Source organism: Homo sapiens, chromosome 16, assembly GCF_000001405.40.
Source record: "Homo sapiens chromosome 16, GRCh38.p14 Primary Assembly".
In the NCBI taxonomy this organism is placed as follows: Eukaryota; Metazoa; Chordata; class Mammalia; order Primates; family Hominidae; genus Homo; species Homo sapiens.
The window spans coordinates 50,278,912-50,302,878 of NC_000016.10; the positions used below are offsets into that span (position 1 = coordinate 50,278,912).

The following is a 23,967-nucleotide window of genomic DNA, read 5'->3' on the forward strand; positions in this document are numbered from 1 at the left end:
CCCAGGCTGGAGTACAGTGGTGCAATCCCATCTCACTGCAACCTCTGCCTCCCGAGTTCAAGTGATTCTCATGCCTCAGCCTCGCGAGTAGCTGGGACTATAGGCACGCACCACCACCTTGGGCTCATTTTTCTATTTTTAGTGGAGACAGGGTTTCACCATGTTGGCCAGGCTGGTCTCGAACTCCTGGCCTCAAGCTATCCACCTGCCTTGGCCTCCCAAAGTGCTGGGATTACAGGTGTGAGCCACCGTGCCAGGTCTATGGAGCTCTTCTTGTACCTCCCAGCCCCATTCATGTCTTGCTGTCACTGCTGGACCCACTGTCAGGGTGGGGCCCTAGGCAATGTGGGAAGTCAGCCAGCACCCTCTTGTCCTGGGCAGGACGAGAACCACGTGAGGTCCCCCATGGCCAGCTGGACTTCCCCTTTCTGTTCTTCCTTATCAAGGGAAAAGGGATCAGAAATCTGTTAAATGTGGGCGTGAAAGTGTTTCCCTTCTGAAGGGGGAAGCTAGTGAGGGCAGTGCTTAAAGAAATGAATCACTAATTGAATTTCAAGCAAGAGTGAGGAAAAAGTAGGGCTATTTCTCCAACAGGGGAGCCTGGTTGATTGCTTAGTCAGTTGATAAACACTGTTGCCTGAACACCCGCTGTGTGCAGAGACCTAGCAGATACCCTGGTTGGGGCAGTGCTAAGGATTCTGCCTTCTGGGAGCTCATTTCCTGAGCAGAATTCCCTCTTGGTACCTGGCCTGGCACCTGGTGCACAGAAGGCATGAGTGCACATCTGCTGAAGGTATGCATGGACGAACTCTCCCTGGGCAGTCACTAACTAGCATTAGAATGGGCATGAGACATAGTGGACCTGGATTCATTATCATTGGCAGCTGGAGCCTTGGGGGTGCATTTTAAAGGGGAGATTGATCAGGGTAATGCTTAACCAAATGAATGAAGTGGAGGGGAGGATTTCAGGAACAAAGAACACTTTTTTTTTCCTTTTTTTGTTGTGTCTCTGGCAGTTTTTGGTAACAAGATGATGCTGGCCTCATAGAATGAGTTAGGGAGGAGTCCCTCTTCCTCAATTTTTTTGAATAGTTTCTGTGGGAATGGTACTAGCTCTTCTTCGTATATCTGGTAGAATTCAGCTGTGAATCCATCAGGTCCTGGCCTTTTATTGGTAGGCTATTTATTACTAATTCAATTTAGGAGCTCATTATTGATCTGTTCAGGGAATCAGTTTCTTCCTGGCTCAGTCATGGGAGGATTGTGTGTCCAGGAATTTATCCATCTCTTAGGTTTTCTAGTTTTTGTGTGTAGAGGTGTTTGTAGTAGTTTCTGATGGTTGTTTTTTATTTCTGTGGGGTCATTAGTAACATTCCTGTAGTCATTTCTAATTGTGTTTATCTGGATCTTTTCTCTTTTCTTCTTTATTAGTTTAGCTAGTGGCCTATTTTATTAATTTTTTCAAAAAAAAAAAAAACAACTCCTGGATTCGTTGATCTTTTGAATGGTTTTTTGTGTCTTGATTTTCTTCAGTTCAGCTCTGATTTTTGTCATTTCTTGTCTTCTGCTAGGCTTGGGGTTGATTTGTTTTTGCTTCTCTAGTTCTTTCAGTTGTGAAGTTAGGTTGTTAATTTGAGATCTTTCTAAGTTTTTGATTCGGACATTTAGTGCTATGAATTTCCCTCTTAACACTACCCTAGCTGTGTCCCAAAGAATCAAAGAACAACTTTCTACCCATCCCTAGAAGTAGCTCTCTGGGGCCAGGTGAGAACATCAGCCTTTTCCCTCAGTTTTTCTCCAGTTGCCTATCCTTTTCATTAACTGATTCAGCCTCCACCCCCAGCCCAGTCCCAACTAGGCCAGAGCTGGCCTCAGAGGTCTGACACAGCCCCTCCTTTGCAAGAGGGGAAACTAAGGCACAGGTCAGGCAAGAGACTTGTTTAGGGTCACAGAGCAGGTTGGTGGCTAAGCTGGGACTGGAATGCAGGTTTCTGGTCCCCAAGACTGATCAGCAGCCTGTGCCCTGGGAGTGGGAACAAAGTCAGCCTGGGGGTGCTTGGGGGCTATGGAGGGGGAGCAGGGTTGGCTGGGGGCTCATGCCGTTGGGGAATTTCAGTCTTTGCCCCTGCTCGGCAACTTTGCAGGCTGTTAGGAGATGCGGTGGGGGGCCTGCCCACTCTGCACCTGCCTCTCCCTGGACCCCATGGTTGGGCTCTGACCCTGCAGGGCTTCCTCTGACACTAAGCGTGCCTTCTTGGCCATTTGCCAATTTGTCTTGCAAGCTTGGCCTGTTGGACATCATGACCTGTGCAGACAACCTGGTTATCAGCACCCCCAGTTTACTGATGAGGAAACTGAGGCCAGAGTGTGCAGGCGACTGCTATTCACAGGCCATTGGTAGCAGAGCTGGGATTGGGTGCAGGCATCCTCCCAGAGGCCAAGCGTAGCTGGGAGAGGTGTGCTGTGGCAGGTAAGGCAGGTGCGGCAGGTGCAGCAGGTGCTTCCCGATCTTGAGGGAGGCCCTTTCTTCATCTGCCCTCATCCTTTGGCTGTGGCGCCCTCCTCCCTCACCCATGCCACTCTGCGTGCTTCCCCACCCTGGGCCTGGTGCAGGATTCTGGCTGGCTACCCTGCTCGGCCATTCACGTCACAGGTGTTTGCCAGGACCAGCTGCGGGACACACACACACAGATCCCACCACGACAGTTTGGCAAGTCAGGGGCCGGGATATTGGACCCACACTGGGAAGGCCTCTTGGTACGGGAGGTGCCTGGGAGAGCAGGGCATGGGGGCCACAGGGCTCTGGGGACAGAGAGGGCTGGGCTTGGGGGGATGGGACCTTGAATACCAGCAACATTGAATCCCTGGGTCCCACGAGGTTTACTGGGGGCCTCTTAGGTCAGGCTTGCACTGGGCAGAGCAGCTGCTGGCTTCATGGAGCTCAGGGTCTCTTGAGAGAGTTCGCGTTAATATGAGATTCCCTTGGCAAATGAAAAATCTGCCTGAGACCCAGCCTACCAGGGGAGCCGAGAGCCGGCAGGACCGGGGGCGCGAGACGGAGCATGCAGGTTTTTTGTCTGGAGCTGCGTGGCGTCCCAGGCAGGGTGTGGGCCCAGGGGCCTGAGCGGGGCCTCTTCCCTGGAGGCTTCCATGCCCCCCTCACTCCAAGGTCCCCACTTCCCCTTTTTGAGGCCAACAGGGCCCCAAAGCAGCCCTGAGCCTGCTGAGGCTCGGCCGGAGGAAGCCAGGCTGTGGTTTCTGCCAACAGTGGCCGGGTGAGGAAGTGGGTGTCCTGTCTGCATCTGTGAAAGCTGGGGGTTTCTAGAACATACTCCCTGCAAGGGCTGTGGTTGTGCTGGGGACGCTGCCAGATCAGCTGGACTGGGGAAGGATTTTCCGAGCACCCAGGGACCTGGCCCTGCAGTTGCAGTATGGAGTCCCAGCCTCTTGCTTCCAGCAGGTCTTCTGGCTGGAGAACCTGGACCCAGCCAGCCAGTATTTGATAAGGAGACCACAGTCCTGCCTTAGTTGCAGGGAAGGGATAAGGGAGTGTGTGTGGGGTTGCTCAGCAGGCTTCCTGGAGGAGGAGGCCCTCCTGGAGTTCGCTGGCCTGAACTTGCTCCTGCAAGGCAGAGGGAAGTAATTCGATGGGGTCCCCTGAGCTCCCCACCTCTTGGTCATAGCTCTGTCCTGGGCCTTGTTTGTAGGGAAGAGGTTGGTGTTTTGGGATATTATGGGATTTCTGGATGCCAGCCCCATGAGGGTGATAGGGACCCCGGATATCCTGTGTTTAAATCCCAGCTTTTTTTTTTTTTCCAGACAGGATTCTCTATCACCCAGGCAGGAGTGCAGTGGCATGATCATAGTTCAGTGAATGTAGCCTTGACCTCCTGGGTTCAAGCAATTCTCCTGCCTCAGCCTCTCAAGTAGCTTGGACTACAAGTGTATGCCACCAAGCCTGGCTAATTAAAAAAAAAATAAACAACTTTTTATAGCGATGGGGTCTCATTATATTGCCCAGGCTGGTCTTAAACTCCTGAACTCCTGGCTGGGGCTGGGCTGTGGAGCCTGGAAAGTGTGATGGAGGGATGAGCGGGGCTGTCCCCTCCAAGACCCAGCTCCTTTCTGGAGGACTGGCTGTGTCTGCAGGGGCACACTCTTACCTCTGTGCTGACTGAGACCCTTCCAGTTGACTCTGAACCCACTGAGGGGCCACGGGTGCTTGTTAGACGCAACAAACTGGGTCCAGAAGCCTGATGTGGACTTTGAGACTCTTGGTTGCGAGTGACAGAAGCTCAAACTGGCTGAAGCTGAAAGGGGCATTGCTTGTCCCATGTGGTTAAATATCTAGAGGTTGCGTAAGCTTCAGGCACAGCTGGCTCCTGTGACCCCAGGAGGTGTTGCCAGGCCCCTGTCTTGTGCCAGTTCTCCATGTTGGTGTCAGTTTCAGGTGGGCTCTCTCCTTGTGGTGGCTCGGGTGTCTGCTGACAGTGTCAGGTCACCGACAAAAGAGAACGCCTCTTTCCCTGGGTCAGCAGAAGTCCAAAGAGAGCCTTCACTTCCCAGGCCTGTGGCATTAGGGCTTGAGAGGGACTTTGCTGATTGGCCACACTGGGGTCATGTGGCCCATGAACCAGGGTACTGAGGGTCGGGAGAAGGGACATTGCACAGCAGAAGCATGAAATACCCTCCTCCCATGTGGACACCTTCCCCACAGGGGAGTCCCCTCTTCTTTAAAATGGGGCTGCTCACCCTGCTCTACCACTGGGGTGGTCGTGAGGTGAGAGTAAGTAAGGGACCCCCTGGGACTGCAGTCTCCTCAGGAAGAGGGGACGTGATACCTCTGCTCTTGGTGGCTTTGGAGTTCAGACAGGACCCATGCGGTGTGGGTGAGGGAGTGACAGGGAGGCAGGGCTTGCCTTGAGCTAAGGGAGGACTCAGGGCCAGAAAAAGTGCCCAGTGATGGAGGAGACTGCCCTGAGAGGTGGTGAGCCCCCCCGTCATGGAGGTGTGCAAGCTAACAGCAGGGTCATTCAATCCGGGAGCCCTGGATTGGATGTGTCTCAGACATGGCAGAAGGATTCCTTTATCCAGGGCCTTGTGGGGAGGCCCTCCCTGTTGCCAACTGAGTCGAGGGCTGGTGGAAGAACTGGTGATTGGACAGGAGGCCTTGAAAACTTCCCGGGCAGGGGGTGCCTCTGGGTCTGGCTTTGGCGGGGTGGCTCCTAGGGAGGAGCTGGCCTGGGGACATGCCACTGGTGGTGGGTTCCTGGGCCCCCTCTGGAGATGTGATCAGTGAGTTCATTCCCCCCAGGCCTCACGGTGCCCGGCTTGTTCCAGGAGCTGGCCAAGGTCCCTGGATGGGCTGAAGTCCTTGTGCCCATGTTGTCCACTGTCCACCTGCGCCTGCCTGCCGTTGCCCAGAAAGTGGCCTAATGAGTTCCTTGAGAGGCGTGTTTACCAGGCCTGTGTTCCCACGGGCCCTTGGGACTCTCTCAGCTGGTTCCTCCCTTTCCTCGTGGTGGCCCAGCCTGGCTTTGTGTGCCTGGAGCGGGTGTGTCCACACACTCTCACACTTGCACTTTCATGCACGTGTCTGGCCGCCTCAGCTCTGGTCTGGGGGCTTTGCCTGGGAGATGGAGCAGTTGTGGGGAGTGGCCTCAGCCCTCTGGTGTTTGGAGCTTCTCAGCCTGGCTGTCCTGGTGCACTGGTGTTTGGCAGCAGGCCAGGGGTCAGGTGGGTTTGCTGTTTGTGTGCTGTGGCATCTGGCTCAGTCCCCCGGGATGTCAGTGGGCAAGCCTGGGCTGAGGAGCCCTGGTTTGGGAGCTGGCAGACCTGGGTTTGCATCCCAGCCTATCTGTCCACCAGCTCCAGCAGTGTGATCTTAGGCAACCACTCTGCCTCTCTGGGCTCAGTTCTGCATCTGTGAGACGGTGGTGCCACCTTGGCCTTTGCCGGTTGTGAAGATGAGAGTGAATGTGTGTGCAGGTGCCGGGGGTGACAGGAACTGCTGCTGTTATTACTGCAAAGGGCTATTTTGGGGTGGGGGGTGCTGAATTGAATGTATCTCAGGCAGGGACCTTATCTTGTTTGGCAACCCCCACAGCACAGGGTTGGATGTATATGGTTAGCACACAGTAAATGCCTCTTGTGGAATACAGACTGATTAGTTTAGATTTAGAGGTTGTAAACTAGTGGGCTGCAAATATTGAAAAATTTGAAATCAGCTGCCAACATTTAAAAATCATCATTTCACGTAGAAATCAGATTTGTAGCCTGTCTGAGCACTTTGGGCACTTTGACAGCTCTTGGCCACATCCCTGAAGGGTTGCCCCTCGTTGAACAGGTGCCAAGGCCTGTAGACACCTGCCCAGGCACTGAAGGGGATGGGGCCCCCAGCAAATGACCCCTTCCTCCTTCCCCAAATATGTGGTTTTACCATTTTGTTCCTGGTGTGTGGTGATGGAATAGGAACTTCCAGAGGAAATAGAGCCTGAGGTGGCTCCTGGAATTGAGGTGGCCCCAGGGATCTCATACTAGCAGGTGCTGGTTGGGGACTTGGGGACCCTGGATATCCTGCTTTTTGCCTTTGGGGGCTGGGGGCTCACCTGGCCATCTTCCCTCCGCTGGACCAGCTGTCCTTTGAAGCTTCTGCTGGCGGCTGGCCATTTGTGCCCTGTGACTGCTCTGAGCTGTCCCGTGTCTCACAGCCTCCCTGCCCTCTGCCTCTGGCCCTGTCCTGGTTCCAATCTGAGGCAGGCCTGGAGGACACTGGGGGCGTGGACTCTTGGTCCAGGGTTGCCCCCTTCATGCAAGGTTCCTGCTGGGAATATGGCAGCTGTCCCCAAGTCCCCATTGCTGTGTGAGGGATTGCACAATTTTGGTAATTTTCCTACCTTTGGAGACTGATGGGGATCCCTGGGGAGAGAGAGCCCAGACTAGCACACAGGAGATATAAGGGCTGGCAGGCGTAGGTGTGATTCACAAGCCTTTTTGGAATCAATGAATATGCTAAGGAATGAATGGTGCTGGGGAAAGAAGGAACCCATATGGGCTGAGCATGGCAAGTGTGGGGTCAGCTCACAGTGTTGTCACAAAGGGGCCACTGTGTCCCTCTCTGAGACTCAGCTCCCTTTTCTGTGAAGCACGGCTTGCAGACATCTGAAATTTGTATCAGTGGGCTATTTAAAAAAATAAACAAGATTTTTGCTGGGTACAGTGCCTGAAAGCTTAACACTTCGGAGGCTGAGGAGGGTAGATTGCTTGAGCTTAGGAGTTCAAGACTAGCCTGGGCAACATGGCAAAACCCCATCTCTACAAAAAATACATGGCCTACTGCAGCCTAAGTCTCCCCAGGCTCAGGTAATTCTCCCACCTTAGCCTCCTGCATAGCTGAGGTCCCAGCTACGCAGGAGTCTGAGGTGGGAGGATTGCCTGAGCCCTGGGAGGTTGAGGCTGCAGCGGGCTATGATCACACCACTTCACTCCAGCCTGGGTGACAGAGTGAGACCCCATCTCAAAAAAAAAAAAAAAAAGAGAGAAAGAAAATGCAGTTTTATGTGGAGCTTACTGTAACACAGATGCAGGGGGCTACCCTGGCTGAAGCAGGCATGGGGGCCTGAGCCTATGCCCCCCCACCTTCCCTTCCCATTGGGGGCCTGATGCATGTCCCCAAATCTCAGGGCTCCTAGGATCACAGCTTGGAACCCTCTGTGCCTGGAGGCATGAGACTCACTGGAAAATGAAGTGAATGTGGTGATTGCACCAGGACCATGGGGACAGAGCAGAGCCTGGAAACAGACACCATCTGTGTGTGATCACCTGACTTATGACAGAGGTGGCTCCACTGAAATTCAGAGAGAGGATGGCCGGTTCACTGAACACTGCTGGGATAATTCAATATCCATATGGAAAAAAGAAGTGAACCTTGATCCCTACCTCACACCATACCCAGAGTGAATCGAAATGGATCAGAGACCTTTGTGTGAAAGCAAAACAGTGAAACATGCAGAGCAGAGCTGGCCTGTAGAAGCTTCTGTGATGATAGACATTCTCTGTTTATCTGTGCTGTCCAGTACAGCAGCTGCATGTAGCCATTGGGTATTTGATTTTTTTTTTTTTTTGAGATGGAGTCTCACTCTGTTGCCCAGGCTGGATGCAATGGCACGATCTCAGCTTACTGCAAAATTTGCCTCCCAGGTTCAAGCCATTCTCCTGCCTCAGCTTCCCGAGTAGCTGGGATTACAGGCACACGTCACCATGTCCGGCTAATTTTTGTATTTTTAGTGGAGGGGGGTTTTACCACGTGGGCCAGGCTGGTCTCGAACTCCTGACCTCAGGTGATCTGCCTGCCTCGACCTCTCAAAGTGCTGGGATTACAGGCATGAGCCACCATGCCTGGCTGGCTGTTGAGTATTTGAAATGTGGCTAGTGTGACTGAGGGACTGAATTTCTAATTTTATTTTAAATTAATTTAAATTTAATTTAAAATAGTGGCTGGGCATGGTGGCTCATGCCTGTTATCCCAGCACTTTGGGAGGCTGAGGCAGGAGGATTGCTTGAGCCCACGAGTTCAAAACCACCCTGGGCAGCAGGGGGAGACGCCCATCTCTACAAAAGAGAATTTAAAAATTAGCTGCACACCTGTAGTCCCAGCTACGTAGGAGGCTGAGGTGGGAGAATCACTTGAGCCCGGGAGTTTGAGGCTGCAGTGAGCTATGATCGTGCCACTGCACTCCAGCCTGGGCAACAGAGTGAGGCCCTGTCTTGAAAAAAAAAAAAAAAAGCAGCCACATGTGGCTAGTGGCTACTATCTTGGACAGTGCAGTCCTAGAAGACACAGGGGACTAGCTTTACGACAACAGGACATAAAAGTTAGGTTAGGGTTAAGATGGATAAATCAGACTTGGTGCTGTGAGGCCTGGGCCCCGCTCTCCCTGATGCTAGCCCTCCCCTGACTTGGACCATTAGGTCAAGTTCCTGTCTGCTTCGTCTCCGCAGAGCTGAGGAACTGCGTGTGGAGTCAGCCCAGTCTGGATGCACAGGAGGATGCTGGCGGCACAGTGAGTGAGGCCTGGTGCCAGAGCTGTGCGGACCCCTTGTTGGCCATGGAGCAGCAGGCCCAGAGGCCCTCTCCCCAGCCCTGCTTGCCTGCCTCGGAGAGGACAGAGGCCTAGGCCCACGGGGGAGGGTGTTGGCAGACAGATGCCCTCCAGGCCCTGGGGCCTCCTTAACGGCCCCTTAACGACACGCGTGCCAAGGGTGGAGGATGCCAGCCAAGGGGCGCTACTTCCTCAACGAGGGCGAGGAGGGCCCTGACCAAGATGCGCTCTACGAGAAGTACCAGCTCACCAGCCAGCATGGGCCGCTGCTGCTCACGCTCCTGCTGGTGGCCGCCACTGCCTGCGTGGCCCTCATCATCATTGCCTTCAGCCAGGGGGTGAGTGAGGGCAGCCCCTGGGCTTCACGTCTCGGCCCCAACCTTGGCCAAGCTGCTATCTTCTCTTAGCCTCTTCTGTAAAATGCTTATCTTCTGTAAAATGCTATGCTTTTTTGTTTGTTTTGTTTTGTTTTTGGGTTTTTTTGAGACAGAGTCTCACTCTGTCACCCAGGCTGGAGTACAGTGGCATGATCTCGGCTCACTGCAACCTCCATCTCCTGGGCTCAAGCAATTCTCCTGCCTCAGCCTTCCGAGTAGCTAGGATGACAGGTGCATGCCACCATGCCCAGCTAATTTTTGTATTTTTAGTAGAGATGGGCTTTCACCATGTTGGCCAGGCTGGTCTCGAACTCCCAACCTCAGGTGATCCACCTGCTTCGGCCCCCCAAAGTGCTGGGATTATAGACGTGAGCCACCATGCCCGGCCAATGCTCTGTCTTTTACAGCACATTTAGACTGGTAGAAGACAAGTTTCTAATTTAAAAAAATTTTTTTTGAGACTGGGCCTTGTTTTGTTGCCCAGGTTGGCCTTGAACTCCTGGGTTCAAGTAATCATCCTGGCTTATCCTCCTGAGTAGCTGGGAGTACAAGCATGCACGACCATGCCCAGCCTCTCTAACTTTAATTCAGTTTTGAAGTCTGGAGTGGTTTCAGACATTACATTAACTTGTCCAGATAAACTACTCTCATTTTTCTCCATGATGAAATTCGATTCTACTGAAGACCTGGGTCAGGGATGGCCTGTGTATCACTGCCCTCACTTCCTGTACCCATGCAGACATCATTAATCAATCCCTACATTCCACACTGAGCCTGTCTACATTCTCAGAATCCTCCTTTTGTTTTTTTTTTGTTTGTTTGTTTTTGTAGAGACATGGCCTCGCTATGTTGCCCAGGCTGGTCTTGAACTCCTGGCCTCAAGTAATCCTCCTGCCTTGGCCTCCCAAAGTGTTGGGATTACAGGTGTGAACCACTGTGCCCGGCCTCAGAATCCTTTTTAACACAGCTCTCCAGGCTGGCACCACCTATGTCATTTCCGGCCCAGGCACTTGCCTTGGTACAGCCACTAGCTGTGTTTAGCTATTGAGCATTTAAAAAGTGGGTAATGTGACTGAGGAACTGCATTTTTCAAAAAAAAGAGTTTTGCTCTTATTGCCCAGGCTGGAGTGCAATGGCACCAACTTGGCTCGCTGCAGCCTCCACCTCCTAGGTTCAAGTGATTCTCCTGCCTCAGCCTCCCGAGTAGCTGGGATTACAGGCCCATGCCACCACGCCTGGCTAATTTTTGTATTTTTAGTAAAGACAGGGTTTCACCATGTTGGCCAGGCTGGTCTCAAATTCCTGACCTCAGCTGATCCACCTGCCTCGGCCTCCCAAAGTGCTGGGATTATAGGCGTGAGCCACCATGCCCAGCCCATTTTCTTTTTAGTGAATGTAAATTTGATTAGCTGAGTTCTAGAAGAACACTCAGAAACTCCAGGGTGTTTATGTGAGTGAAGTGGCCAGGACCTAGCAGCTGCCAGTGCAGCCTGGATCCATGTGGCTACCAACCACAGGATGCTTGCTACTGTGTGCCAGCCCCCAGATCAGGCCTCTGCCCCCACGGACCTCCCGGATGCTGTGCCCGTCCTGTCCCACCTCTGTGCCATTGCCTCAGCTCCTCCCCTGTGGGATGACTTTTCCTGGTATCCCTCACCAGCCTCTGCTCACTCACTGAGGGCCAGGCGCAGTGTCCTCTTTGGGCGGCTTTACAAGGCTCTGCCTGTGAATGAGTCCTGCCCTGTGCTTGTGGTATCACCTGCGGCTGTGCACAGAGCACCGTGGGAACCCAGAGAGGAGGCAGAGGCAGATGGAGAGTGATGGCATCATGGGCGGGGCTGTGGGTGATGCTCTGGTTCCCGAGATGATGGGAAGGGGGTGGTTGAGGCAGCCTTGGCAGAGGTGACAAAGGCCAGAAGGTGAGTGGGAACCAGGTGTGGGAGGGTGCATCCACACCCTTCACGTGGAGGAAGCTGTAAGTGAGGCAGCCGGCCCGGCAGGCTTTCTGGAGGAGGTGGCTCTGCACTGGGGAAAGCCGAGGCATTCCTGTCTGTTTGCTCCACCCAGGACCCCTCCAGACACCAGGCCATTCTGGGCATGGCGTTCCTGGTGCTGGCGGTGTTTGCGGCCCTCTCTGTGCTGATGTACGTCGAGTGTCTCCTGCGGCGCTGGCTCAGGGCCTTGGCGCTGCTCACCTGGGCCTGCTTGGTGGCGCTGGGCTATGTGCTGGTGTTCGACGCATGGACAAAGGCGGCCTGTGCGTGGGAGCAGGTAACAGGAACTCTGGACTCCCTGCCAGCTGCGCCTTCAGCAGCTCCCATCCCCGTGGTTGGTGGGCATGCCACAGGCCCTTCGTGCCCCACGCTTGGCTGTGTGTCTAGGATGGCCCCAGGCTGGTTTTGTCCCTGTGAGTTCTCTGCATTGACAGGGCTGAGGTGGGGAGAGCATCCACTCGGACGCTGGGCTGCAGCACTTTTGGGTGGCTCCAGTTTGGTTGGAGATGACAGAACTTCAGCTCAAAGAGGCAAAAAGGCACAAACTGGTTCCTGTGTCAGGAAAGGCCAAGGGGTCAGTGCTGGGCTCCAGTGGGTAACTGGAACTGGGGCCTCTGGACAGCTTCGGCCCCGGGCACGCTGTCCCCAGGTGGGGGCAGAGAAGTTCACAGCGGCTCCAGGCTGCCCACCCCAGTTGAGAGAGAGGGCCCTTTCTCAACCAGCTCGACCTGCAGGCTTGAGCCACACTGGCCTGGCTGTGGTCATGGGCCCAGTCCCAGAGAGGCTGTCACCAAGCGGTAGCACACTCTGACCAGTGGGCCTGGGTCCTATGACAGCTCCTGTGGCTGGGGCAGGGTGGGGTGAGGCCCAAGGAAACCATGTGGACTGAAGGGGAGGGAGAGGGCAGCACTCCCAGAGGGGTGGACGCAGGACCAGCCGGTGGGGATGGTGGGGCAGCTCTGGGGGTGGAGGGAGGGCGGGTGGGGCCGCATTGCTGGAGGCAGCTGGTGAGAGGGTGCCTCAGCCTCCCGGTAATCATTTCTGCTGAGCGAGAACCACGTGGCAGGGGCACCAGGTGGGGGCTCCCTGGATCACGCGGGGCATGGAGCCTCCCACCTAGGGTGGCCACAGGCAGTGGATCAGCACAGGAAACCATGAACCTTGTGGCCGGGCCCACCCTAGAAACACATTATGGCTTTTCTTGTTCCCTTGTATGTCTGCCCACGCAGGGGGTGGCGAGGGAGCCAACCTAAGGATACGCACTGGGTGGGCTGCTGTGGTGCAGGGTTCCGGGGGCTGTACGGCCTGGGGCAGCATCTTGGGGCACCGGGCTCACCAGGCTGCATCCACAGGTGCCCTTCTTCCTGTTCATTGTCTTCGTGGTGTACACACTACTGCCCTTCAGCATGCGGGGCGCTGTCGCCGTTGGGGCCGTCTCCACTGCCTCCCACCTCCTGGTGCTCGGTTCTTTGATGGGAGGCTTCACGACACCCAGTGTCCGGGTGGGGCTGCAGGTGAGGGATGGGCTAAGGCCTCTGGGGGAGGTTTTGTGGTCTGGGTCTAAGGGCAGATGGGGGGGCCCCCTCTGGGTGAATCAGACCCGAAGGCCCCGGAGCCGTGTTTGCAGACAGCCCGCTCCAAGGCCGGGCCCTCTCCACGTCTGCTCGGAAGCTGGGCTCCAGGCGTGGCCCTGCCCTCTGGCCTTTGCTTTGCTGGCCTAGGGCTCCCCTGTGGCTCAGCCCTCAGGGTCGTGACCTCAGGCCTTGCCTCCCGGTTCAGGGACACTGTCGTGGGGTGAGTCCCATTGCCGAAGTTTCCCCTCGAAGGCCCTGTCCTGGCGGGGCTTGGGGGAGTACCCCAGGGCACTGCCTTGTGTCTTTGTGTTGAATGAGTGAATCTTCTGTTCATAATTATTGGGTGTTTAGAGAAGTGTTTTCCCTCTGACCAGGCCTGGTGTCCTCTCCAGGCAGAGGCTGGCCCTCCACACAGCCAGCTGGGCGCTGTGCCCTCTGGGACTGCCCTTAGCACGCATGCCCCTCGGGCCCTGGGCTCTGTGAGGTGGTCTCTTCTGCCTCCCTGGGTGTCCTGGTCTTGCAGTCCTAGTGACTCACTAGGAGACTAGCTCCTGTCTGGGCCTCAGTTTCCCTGTCTGCCCCAGGAAGAGTGCCATTCTCAGTGGGTTGAAGGTCAGGGAATGGGAAGAGGTGCCATCACTAGTCCGCCTAGGGGTCTGGTGCCTCGGGAGGGCATGGGCCAGGCCACATAATGAGCCAAACCCCTGTCTACCCGCAGCTGCTGGCCAACGCAGTCATCTTCCTGTGTGGGAACCTGACAGGCGCCTTCCACAAGCACCAAATGCAGGATGCATCCCGGGACCTCTTCACCTACACTGTGAAGTGCATCCAGATCCGCCGGAAGCTGCGCATCGAGAAGCGCCAGCAGGTGGGACCCGGCCCCCACTCCTCACCCTGTACACCCCTGTCCTCTTCCTCTTTCTGTTGGACATGAGACACTCATGCTGCCATGTGCATGAGGTGCATGGCCAGACACCCATGCAGGTCTCACCTCGGTGAGTCCTGGGCTCCAGCAGGGTAACCATAGCCTGCTGACCCTTGACTCTGCCTTCCTCTGTGTGGTTTCAGTCCTGGGCACGCAGTCCCCAGGTGGCGGCAGAGAAGGCCGTAGTGGCTCCAGGCTGCTCACCCATCAGCTTAGCCTCCCCAGCTGAAAGAGCCCTTTCTCAGTCACCCTGAGTCCCGGGGGCTGCTGGGTACATGGGAGGTAGATGCTCAGTTGGGTTGGTGGAGGACAAGAGCAGAGATGGGGACATTGTGGGCAGGGCAGGCAGGCAGGGAGGATGGGGGCCAAGGAGGCCAGGTCTGGGACCTGATGCTACCCTGCCTGTCCCCCGCTGGTCCCTCCGCCGGTCGCTTTGCTGGTCCCTCTGCTGGTCTGCCCACCCACACCCAGGAGAACCTGCTGCTGTCAGTGCTTCCGGCCCACATCTCCATGGGCATGAAGCTGGCCATCATCGAACGGCTCAAGGAGCATGGTGACCGTCGCTGCATGCCTGACAACAACTTCCACAGCCTCTACGTCAAGAGGCACCAGAATGTCAGGTGGGCGGTGAGACGTGTGATTAGCATATCCCGGGGACTGGGCCCACCGTTCCACCGGCCCCCAGGCGGCCTCCCCGCCCTATCTGGAGGCTCAGACCCCTGCCCATATAGGGATTGGGAGAGGGCCCCATGGTTCCAGGTCAATCTGGGGCCCTCCCTGGGTCTCAGAACCCCCACTTGTGGGCAGGATCAGATCAGGGCTCTTAAATTAGAGAATTTAGATTGGTATTGAAAGATCTAGCACACCCCCAAAACTGTAAAACTGTGTGAGCAAACATAGCTTTTGTGAAGGAAGGGGTCCTTTCAGATGGTTCTCAAGGGAGCACAGGACCCCCAGAATGAGGTAAAGCCCCCCGGCCTTGGTGCCCAAGAGTGCCCCGGTTCTGACACCTGTCTTTGGCTGATTTGCAGGGAACCACAAAATTTTACTTGAATGCACTGACCTGAGTTTGTCAAGTGTCGATGTGGGTGCTGGGTGCCGTTGAGTGTAGATGTGGGTCCCAGGAGACCCCCTGGGTCCTCTGCCTGCAGCGCCAGCATTACATCCAAGGCTGGCCCGCTGCCTTTTCTCTGGGCTGTGGATGGTCCATGAGCTTAAGGACTTTGGAGCAGGGAGAACTGGTGCAGATGCCAGCTCTTGGCTTCCCAGCAAGTCTCAATGTCCTGGAGCCTCAGTTTGTGCATCTGTAGAACGGGAGTTCGGCAAGGGCTGTGTGAGGACTCGATGCCTGTAAAGTGCTGGGTGTGGAGGTTGGCTTGAGGGAGCATGGAGCTGCCTCTCACCAGGGAGTTCTGAAGTCTGTGCTGTGGTGAACATTGGATGGGAAAGGGGAAGGCTCCGGGCTGCCTGCAGGAGTGCCCTTCGGCTGTCTGCAGTGATAGGGCCTGGGGTGGGGCCGAGGGCTCCTGTAGGCTCTGAATTTTGCTCCCTTCTGCTTTAACGTGAAGCCCCTGGAACTTTAATCTGTCTCTATGGCTGGGCGCGACTCTCCCATCCCTATGGAGGCTGAGGAAGGACGGGGGTGAATGGGCTCAGGCCTGGCAGGCTCCTGGGGCTCCAGACAGTCCTGCGTGCTCCTGCTGCTGCTGTCTAGGAGCCTGGCTCTGACACTCCCTCCCACCCTGCCCCATCCCCAGCATCCTCTATGCGGACATCGTGGGCTTCACGCAGCTGGCCAGCGACTGTTCTCCCAAGGAGCTGGTGGTGGTGCTGAATGAGCTCTTTGGCAAGTTCGACCAGATCGCCAAGGTGAGCCCGCTGGCCTACAATGGGCAAAGCCAGGCCCCTCCCCTGCCTATTACACCCCAGGGGTGTCCTGTGTTCAGTGCCCTGCTGGAATTGGGATGGGGAGGCGTGGCTGAATTTTAGCATCCAGCCAGCAAACACAAGCGCCCCATGGTAAAGGTGGGGGTGAGTGGTGGCCACGGCAGCCAGGATCCTGTGCCCCCAGAGTGACAGGCCAGTGGGGAGACTGACAGTGCACACTGGGCGATATACTGGGGCTCTGGAGCTCAGATGGGGGCTCAGGAGGAGGAGATGGCTCCATCCTCACTGGCAAGGCTAGCAGCCTCCACTCACCTGGTAGCTCAGGAGGACTGTGGAATGCCCAGCCTCACCCAGAAGCTGCTTTTCACAGGATCTGAGGTGAATCATGTGCACATTAAACTTTTACGTTTTGTTTGTTTGTTTTTGTGAGATGGAGTCTCATTCTGTCATGAAGGCTGGAGTGCAGTGGTGCCATCACTGCTCACTGCAGCCTCGACCTGCCAGGCTCAAGTGATTCTCATGCCTCAGCCTCCTGAGTAGCTGGGACTACAGGCATGCACCACCACGCCTGGCTAATTTTTTTTTTTTTTTTTTTTTTTTTTTTTTGTAGCAATGGGGTTTCGCCATGTAGGCCAGGCTGGTCTCGAACTCCTGACCTCAAGTGATCATCCCCTCTTGGCCTCCCAAGTGCTGGGATTACAGCCGTGGGCCACCACTCCTGGCCCACCTTAAAGTCTGAGATACTTGAAAAAATATCTGAGGAGGAAAGGGAACAGTGTTCTTAGCAGGGGGAACAGCATAGACAAAGCCTGGAGTAGAAAGAAAGCCCCGTGTGTCCATGGGGTGAACGTGCTCAGTGTGCGTGTGAGGTGTGAGGGGGACAAGGGCACAAGGTCTGACATGCAAGGACATGAGGGCTGAGGCGAGGACCAGGATGCTGAGGAGCTCGACACGTGCCAGGCAGGGAGGGGGTAAGGCAAGCAACATTTCCATTAATGGACCAAATGGTCCTGAGAGAGGGTAAGTGCCAGGCCCTGAGTCTGGGTGGGGCCTTGGGCCTACATGGTATGTGCTTTGAAGAAGAGAAGTGTGGGGGCCAGGAAGCCTGGGGAGCACCTAGCCCAGCCTCAGGTGATCAGGGCAGGCTTCCTGGAAGTGGTGGCCATTAAATAGAGACTGAAGTGTAAGATTTAAGGTGGTGGCTCCCTATCCTGGCTGTACATGCAAATCACATGGAAAGCTTAAATAAAACACCAGTGCCCATGTCCACACCCATCAGAGTTCTGTTTTGTTTTGTTTTTGAGACAGAGTCTTGCTCTGTCACCTAGCGTGAAGTGCAATGGCATAATCATGGCTCACAGCAGCCTCAACCTGCCTGGGCTCAGGCGTCCTCCCACTTCAGCCTCCCGAGCAGCTGTGACTACAGGTGTGCACCACAACCCCAGGCTAATTTTTTTGTATTTTGTGGAGATGGGGTTTTGCTACATTGTCTAGGCTGGTCTTGAATTCCTACGCTCAAGTGATCCACCCACCTCAGCCTCCCAAAGTGCTAGGATTACAGGCATGCACCATCATGCCCTGCCCCATCAGAATTTTTTTTTTTTTTTTGAGACGGAGTCTTGCTCTGTTGCCCAGGCTGGAGTGCAGTGGTGTGATCTCTGCTCACTGCAAGCTCCGCCTCCCGGGTTCACACCATTCTGCCTCACCCTCCTGAGTAGCTGGGACTACAGGCGCCTGCCACCACGCCTGGCTAATTTTTTGTATTTTTAGTAGAGACGGGGTTTCACCATGTTAGCCAGGATGGTCTTGATTTCCTGACCTTGTGATCCGCCTGCCTCGACCTCTCAAAGTGCTGGGATTACAGGTGTGAGCCACTGCGCCTGGCCAGAATTTGTAAGAGCCCCGCAGGTGTCTCTGTGGGCAGAGAATCAATGGTCTAGAACTTGATGGGAGGCAAGTTATGACTTCACACTGGGAAGAATTTTTCATGATCAGAGCTACTCAATCCCAGGAGGGACTGGAAGTGGGCTCCCTGTTGCAGGGGGTAACCAAGCTTCTACAGGATTGCACTGGTCAGGGATGCTCTGGAAAACTGTCCCATCCTGGGGATTGTGGACTGAGTGACTCAGAGGGCCTGTCTAGCCTGGAACCTTCCTTCAGGATCTGCATGGCTTCTGAACCAGCAGCTGGGAGCCCCAGAGGTTGGGCCTCATGTGAGGCAGGGGCCCTGGGCTCGGGCCACAGCTGGCCCTTTCCTTACCATAAAGCCCACACAGAGGGTCCCTTGCCCTTGGACACAGTCTTCCCTCTCCAGCAGGCCCAGGAGGCGTGGCCCTATTGCACAGATGGGGAAAGGGAGGCCATGGCAGGTGCCAGCTTCCCAGTCAGAGCATCTAATCTCTGGGCAGAGTTGGGCAGGGCTGGTCCCAGCCTTTTCTCCTATCAACAATCAGATTCCAGAAGTGTAAGCTCTTTCCAAGAGCCAGGGCCTCCTCTCTCAGAGGCATACAAGTCACACCTCCGCACAAGACCCAGCTCCCCAACTCCAAGTGTCAGAGACACAGGGGACTGTCAGCCGGTGGAGCAGCCGGGGGAATGTGGCCTCTCCTACATCCCCGAGAGCTGGGCTGGGTCCATGGGCAGTCCTGTGCCTGGTCCGAGAGGAGATCAGGGTAGCTGGAGCCTAGTATCCAGGTCTGCCAAGATTGCCTGCTTTCTAGGAAAGCCACTGTCCTCTTGTCCTTGCAGTCACTCAGAACTCACTCAGCATGTGCCAGATGGGGCCCAGCAGGAAACATCTGGCACACGCTGAAACTGAGTAATTGGCGGAGGGCACAGGCCAGGGATGGTTCCCAGGCTGGGCAGGTGCAGGGGACCTGGAGGCAGGGCTGGTGCTGTGTCTGGGGCCTGGGTCTGTGATGGCTGATGGGCACAGAGTAGGGACGAGGACAGGATAGGCTCGAGTCCTGGAGACAGATGGTGTTCCAGGAGCAGGCCTAGCCCTCGTGAGCCTGCAGGACAGAGCCCTCTTAGCTCCCTCCTGGCCAGAAGCCAGAGCACAGGGCCACCTGCTGGGGCGTCCAGTCCGAGGGTCAGCTGAGTGGGGTAGAGGGTGGGGAGGGGAGAGCAGAGGCAGATGGCGCTCCTTCTTCAGCTCCCCTAAAGCCCCACCCATGAGGCCTCGGTGCATGTGGCCACCCTTGCTGAGGGCTTAAGGAGGGTCTGGTGACGCAGCAGTGCCTCAGATGAACCTCAGAGGGCTCTCGGGGGTCCCCTTCTCTCCCTGGGCCTTTTCCTATGAGTCCCCACCCTCGCCGCTCTCCTACTCTGCCCTCCCCATTCCCTCTTTCCTCTCTGCATTGATATCTTTCCTCCCCACCCCTAAGCCCTGTCAGCACAGCCACTGCTTGGGTGACCTTGAAACCTGCTGATCCCTTGGTGTGTACACCTGTGACCTCTGTCCTCACCCCCCACTCCTGCAGCCTCCTGGCTACCTCGCAGTCTCTTCCCCAGCTTTGTGGCCCCAGGGCTCCTGTGAGTCCTTGAGTACTCTTCCTGCAGAGACTGGCATGGCCGGCTCTCTCGGTTCCTCGGGGTCTTAGCTCAAATGTTTCTGATTCCAACTCTGAGAGGTCTTCGCTGGCCTCCTGGGAACATCACTTCCCTCCTGTGCCTTGGTTTTCTCCTTAGCCCCCATCACAGCTGGGCACACTGTTTTGTTTTTGTCTTTCTAGTTTAGTGCCCACCCCTCCTGCCTACGTGCAAGCTCCGTGGCTGCAGAGATTTGCATCTATTTTGTTCACTGCTGTGTCCCCTTGCCTGGCCTGGGGCCGGGTACTCAGTAGGCACTCAAACATTACCTGGGCAAATGAAACCAAGGCAGACCCCTCCCCGAGGCCCTTAGGAACACTCGTGTTCACCTCTGGTGCTTGCCTGGGGGTTCCTCCTGGGGAGGCCCCCATGTCGCTAAGCCTTTTGCCAGGCCCAGAAGTGGCTCCTGGTGACTGGACCCCAGGAGGCAAGCCCCCAGCCAGGAGAGAGCCGGGTGCACCCTGGAGGGTGGGGGGAGGCGGCTGTCGTGAGAGGTCCCAGCCCCACATCTTCCAGTGACCAGGCCCTTCCCTCACCCTGCAGGCCAACGAGTGCATGCGAATCAAGATCCTCGGCGACTGCTACTACTGTGTATCGGGCCTGCCCGTGTCGCTGCCTACCCACGCCCGGAACTGCGTGAAGATGGGGCTGGACATGTGCCAGGCCATCAAGTAGGTCCTGGGCGGGCCCAGGCCCTGGGTCCTGCCCTGTGGCGGACCCTCCTGGGCATGGTAGGGGATGTGTCATTCTCATGTCACAGATGGGGAAACTGAGGCTCGGGGGGTTGGGGGTGAAAGCAGCTTGCCTGGACCACCCAGCCTGCTGGAGGATTCAGACTTCATCTGTTTGCGTCCCTCCCTGTGGTGCTGCCTGTGACTCTGAGTCCCAGAAAGCATCTCCGGAGCTCAGAGCTGGGTGATGTGAGGTCAGGGCGGTGGGCTCCGCTCCCCTCAAGGATGGGGTCTTAGCAACAGCAGGAGGCTTCAGGGTAGGCAGCCGGGGGACCTTTCCGACCCAGGGGTCGACTCCAAGGCTCCATCTGCTTCCTGCTCCCCAGTGAAGATCCTGGAGTCAGGCTTGGTCCTGAGGCTGCGGGGAGACCCCCCGCTCCCCTCTAGGTCCCCTGTGGCTCTGAGCAGCTGGGGTCTGTGGGAGGAATTTGCCGAGAGGGCTGTATGGGGAGAGGGCCAGGCAGGCCCAGCCAGGCTGACCAGTGTGGGGCAGAGCAGGGCCCGGTGGGGCTGCCCGTCCTGGATATCAGGCCGTGTTCCAGCCTGTCCTTCTCCTGAAGTCCTGCCATAGGTGGCTGGTGTTGCCAGAAAGAAGCCTGGGCAGAGCTGGAGGGGCCTGGCCTGCACCACTGCCTGTGTGACCTCAGGCTGGCCCCTGCCCTGTAACAGGCGGAGGTTGTACAGGCCCTCGTGCACCTCTGGTTCCGACCCTGGAAGGCTTGGTCAGTGCCCAGCCTTGTTGGTGGACACGTGGTGCCGCTTGTCATGGGGACTCAGGCTCTGTTCCTGTCTTGGGCGTCCCCTGTGCCCCAAGGAAGCTCTCCCGTGGGGCTCTGCTCCTGTGCTCAGTGGTGCTAACAACTCCCAGGGCCCCTGCTTCCCAGGGATTGGGGGGGCATAGAAGGTGCCCATGGTCTGGGCCCCTGTGTTCCTTGTCTATGCTAGGTTTTGGGTGGTTCCTGGACCCCCTCTGTAGACGCCAGTAAACTTTATTTATTTATTTATTTATTTGAGATGGAGTCTCGCTGTGTTGCCCAGAGCGTATCTCGGTTCACCACAACCTCTGCCTCCTGGGTTCAAGCGATTCTCCTGTCTCAGCCTCCCAAGTAGCTGGGACTACAGGCGCCTGCTACCATGCCCGGCTAATTTTTATATTTTTAGTAGAGTCAGGGTTTTGCCATATTGGCCAGGGTGGTCTCAAAACTCCTGACCTCAGGTGATCTGCCTGCCTCAGCCTCCCACAGTGCTGGGATTACAGGCATGAGCCACCACGCCCGGCCCCCAGTAAACTTTTAAAACCCAGCCGGTGCTGCTGGGCAGGGAAAACACCCAGTGATGGTATTTTAGGTCCATCAACATGGGCTGTAGTGACTAGTTGGAATTCCTCCTCCCTCCTACCTAGTCCTTGAGGTCAGCTGTGGCCACACCTACTTGTATGCTCCTGGGGATGGGGCACTCAGCTCTTCCTGAAGAGGCAGCCCCATCAGGCTGAGAACATTCTCTCCCGTGGGCTGAGCGCCTGCCCTGTTCCCACATGCTGCCCTGTACCCACCCCACACCTGGGAGCTTCAGCCTGTCCCAGGGCTTAGGCAGGGCTGGGGTGACTGGGCCACTCTGCCCCAGGCAGGTGCGGGAGGCCACGGGCGTGGACATCAACATGCGTGTGGGCATACACTCGGGGAATGTGCTGTGCGGGGTCATCGGGCTGCGCAAGTGGCAGTATGACGTGTGGTCCCACGACGTGTCCCTGGCCAACCGGATGGAGGCAGCCGGAGTACCCGGGTGAGGCTGGGCTGGGTAGCCGCAGGGACAGAGGCCTGGGGCTGGCTGTGGATGGAGGGTTCTGCGGTTGGGGGTGGGGGTCAGGTGTGGAGGGAGAGATGAATGTAGAAAAGCTGGCCTGGGGCCCAGGCCTGCCTGCTGTGCATCCCTGGGTGGATGCCAGCCCTCTCTGGGCCCCAAGGCTCTGCCTGACTTGGGTCTCCCGTAGCCGGGTGCACATCACGGAGGCCACGCTAAAGCACCTGGACAAGGCGTACGAGGTGGAGGATGGGCACGGGCAGCAGCGGGACCCCTACCTCAAGGAGATGAACATCCGCACCTACCTGGTCATCGACCCCCGGGTACGAGGGCTCAGAGGCCGCAGCTGGGGGGGACCCGGAGGGACTGGAGGGGCCCTGGAGAGCCTGGCCCGCACCTTGGAGGAAACCCCCATGTGGAGGGAGAGGTGGGGAAGGGCCCTGCCTGGGCAGGAGTGAGCTCCCTGTTCCCAGGCACATTCTAGGCACCGAGTAGCCACTCCCTGGGCCTCCATTCTTTTCTATGTGATGGGAAAACAGCGCCTGCCTCACCAGAAGGAGCTAATCCGAGCGAGGCCTTCACAGTGCGCCTGGCACGTCACAGCATTCTATGTATTCTCGTCACTCTTGGTTTATTTTCCATGAGGTGGTTATTAATCTCCCAGATTTCCGAGAGACACACTTTCAAAACAAGCTTTGGATGAAACTCAGGAAAGCAGGGAGTGGCCTGGGAGCCACTGGGCAGGAGCCTCTGAGTGTCCTGGGTGCTGACTGCAGGTCCCCTGGTGGCTCCAGGACCCCACGGTGGAGGAGGCAGTTCCACTGCCCTGGCCAGGTGGGGCCCGCCTTGGCCTGTCTGCTGCCCGACCCTGGCCTGCTTCAGGGAGTCCGGCACGTCTGGCCACTTCTCTGTGAATCATCCATGAGGCTTGCTCAAGAATGTCGGCCCAGCCAGCGAGTGGCTCCTTTCACTCTGGTCCTCGCTATGCCTTGGGGCTGGCCCGACTGCCAGACCCTGGGGGACCAAGGGCTGGCCTGTGAGCCTCCCTACACATCTGCTGGCCTCACTCTGCCCCCAGCACCCCCAGTGCTGCACCATCCATACTGAGCCAGCATCTGGGAAAACCCCTGCCGGTACCTGTGTCCCATTCCACCACCCTCCTAGAATAGGGCCCTGATCCTCGCCCTGTACCCCGGCCCTGGCCCCGCCCCTCCAAGCCCCTTCCCCTGCTCTCCTGTCCCCCTCACCCCACCTGGTCTCCTCCTGCCCTTCCACTACCAGGGTGGTGGCACCCGCAGGTCCCTGCACTCAAAACACTCCTCCCTCCGTCCCTAATGCCCTTGCTTGTTTATCCATTTTCCTTGTCTGTTGTCAGCATGAGTGCCATGCCGGGGGGCTCCTCCTCTCCAGGCTGCAGCCCCCCACCCCGTGCTGAGATGGATGCCCGGCTCGAAGCTAGTGCTCAGATAGCCCTTGAATGAGTGAAGCAGAGCTCCTCACCCAGGAGGCTCCAAAATCCACCCCCGCAGGCTGCCAGGTTGAGCAGGGAAAACTGCAGGCTGCCTGGGCCGACTTGAATTTCAGATAACTGTAAATCATGTTTCGCATAAGTGTTGCACGCAGTACTCAACTGGACAGTTGTATTTATTTGGCGGCCCCACCTTCCCCCCACCCCACCCTACCCCACCCTCTTTTTTGTTTAACTTCATTTATCCACGCAGTTGAAAGTTCAAAAGGTGTGAAGGGCGTGTTGTAGAAAGACTCCTTGTCCCCAGCCGGCACATCTCAGAGGGGACCTGTGCAGTGAGTTTCTTGTATTCCCTCCACAGGGATTTTCACGGACACCGAGTGAACTGCGAGTCCCCCCACCCTTCTTGCTAAGGTGGCAGTGGCGGGCCCCATGGTCGCGCACCCTGCATTTTTCCTACCTTGGGGACATCCCTCCTGTGTGCAGGGTGCTCGTCTGTAGCTCCTGTTTTTGACATGG

General features: G+C 56.6%; 1 protein-coding gene and 1 non-coding gene across 34 annotated transcripts in view, besides 1 other annotated feature; both read left to right on the plus strand.

The window, feature by feature from the left end:
* The window catches only part of ADCY7 (adenylate cyclase 7), a 73,437-nt gene that overhangs the window by 34,213 nt on the left and 15,257 nt on the right, over positions 1-23,967 (plus strand). For 17 of the 33 annotated variants that reach the window (XM_047433551.1, XM_047433560.1, XM_011522837.4 and 14 more), the window contains exons 2-10: positions 9,001-9,439; positions 11,546-11,749; positions 12,825-12,986; positions 13,765-13,914; positions 14,443-14,591; positions 15,729-15,840; positions 19,993-20,120; positions 21,804-21,962; positions 22,171-22,303. In XM_047433551.1, coding sequence (XP_047289507.1) covers positions 9,269-9,439; positions 11,546-11,749; positions 12,825-12,986; positions 13,765-13,914; positions 14,443-14,591; positions 15,729-15,840; positions 19,993-20,120; positions 21,804-21,962; positions 22,171-22,303 — 1,368 coding nt within the window. In that variant the 5' untranslated portion in view covers positions 9,001-9,268. Of the gene's footprint in view, positions 1-610; positions 794-8,970; positions 9,440-11,545; positions 11,750-12,824; positions 12,987-13,764; positions 13,915-14,442; positions 14,592-15,728; positions 15,841-19,992; positions 20,121-21,803; positions 21,963-22,170; positions 22,304-23,967 lie in introns of those variants that run through there. The other 16 variants (XM_047433552.1, XM_047433563.1, XM_011522842.3 and 13 more) reach the window with 4 other exon arrangements.
* Positions 5,023-5,524: an enhancer, noted in NCBI's record as "H3K4me1 hESC enhancer chr16:50317845-50318346 (GRCh37/hg19 assembly coordinates)". NCBI's record gives its function as "activates a minimal SCP1, AML or CMV promoter by ChIP-STARR-seq in naive H9 embryonic stem cells {active_cell/tissue: H9 hESC(naive)}" and the evidence as "EXISTENCE:reporter gene assay evidence [ECO:0000049][PMID:30033119]".
* Positions 13,705-13,764, plus strand: MIR6771 (microRNA 6771). The gene has a single exon (NR_106829.1). It is a non-coding gene; the product is annotated as a microRNA 6771 (primary transcript).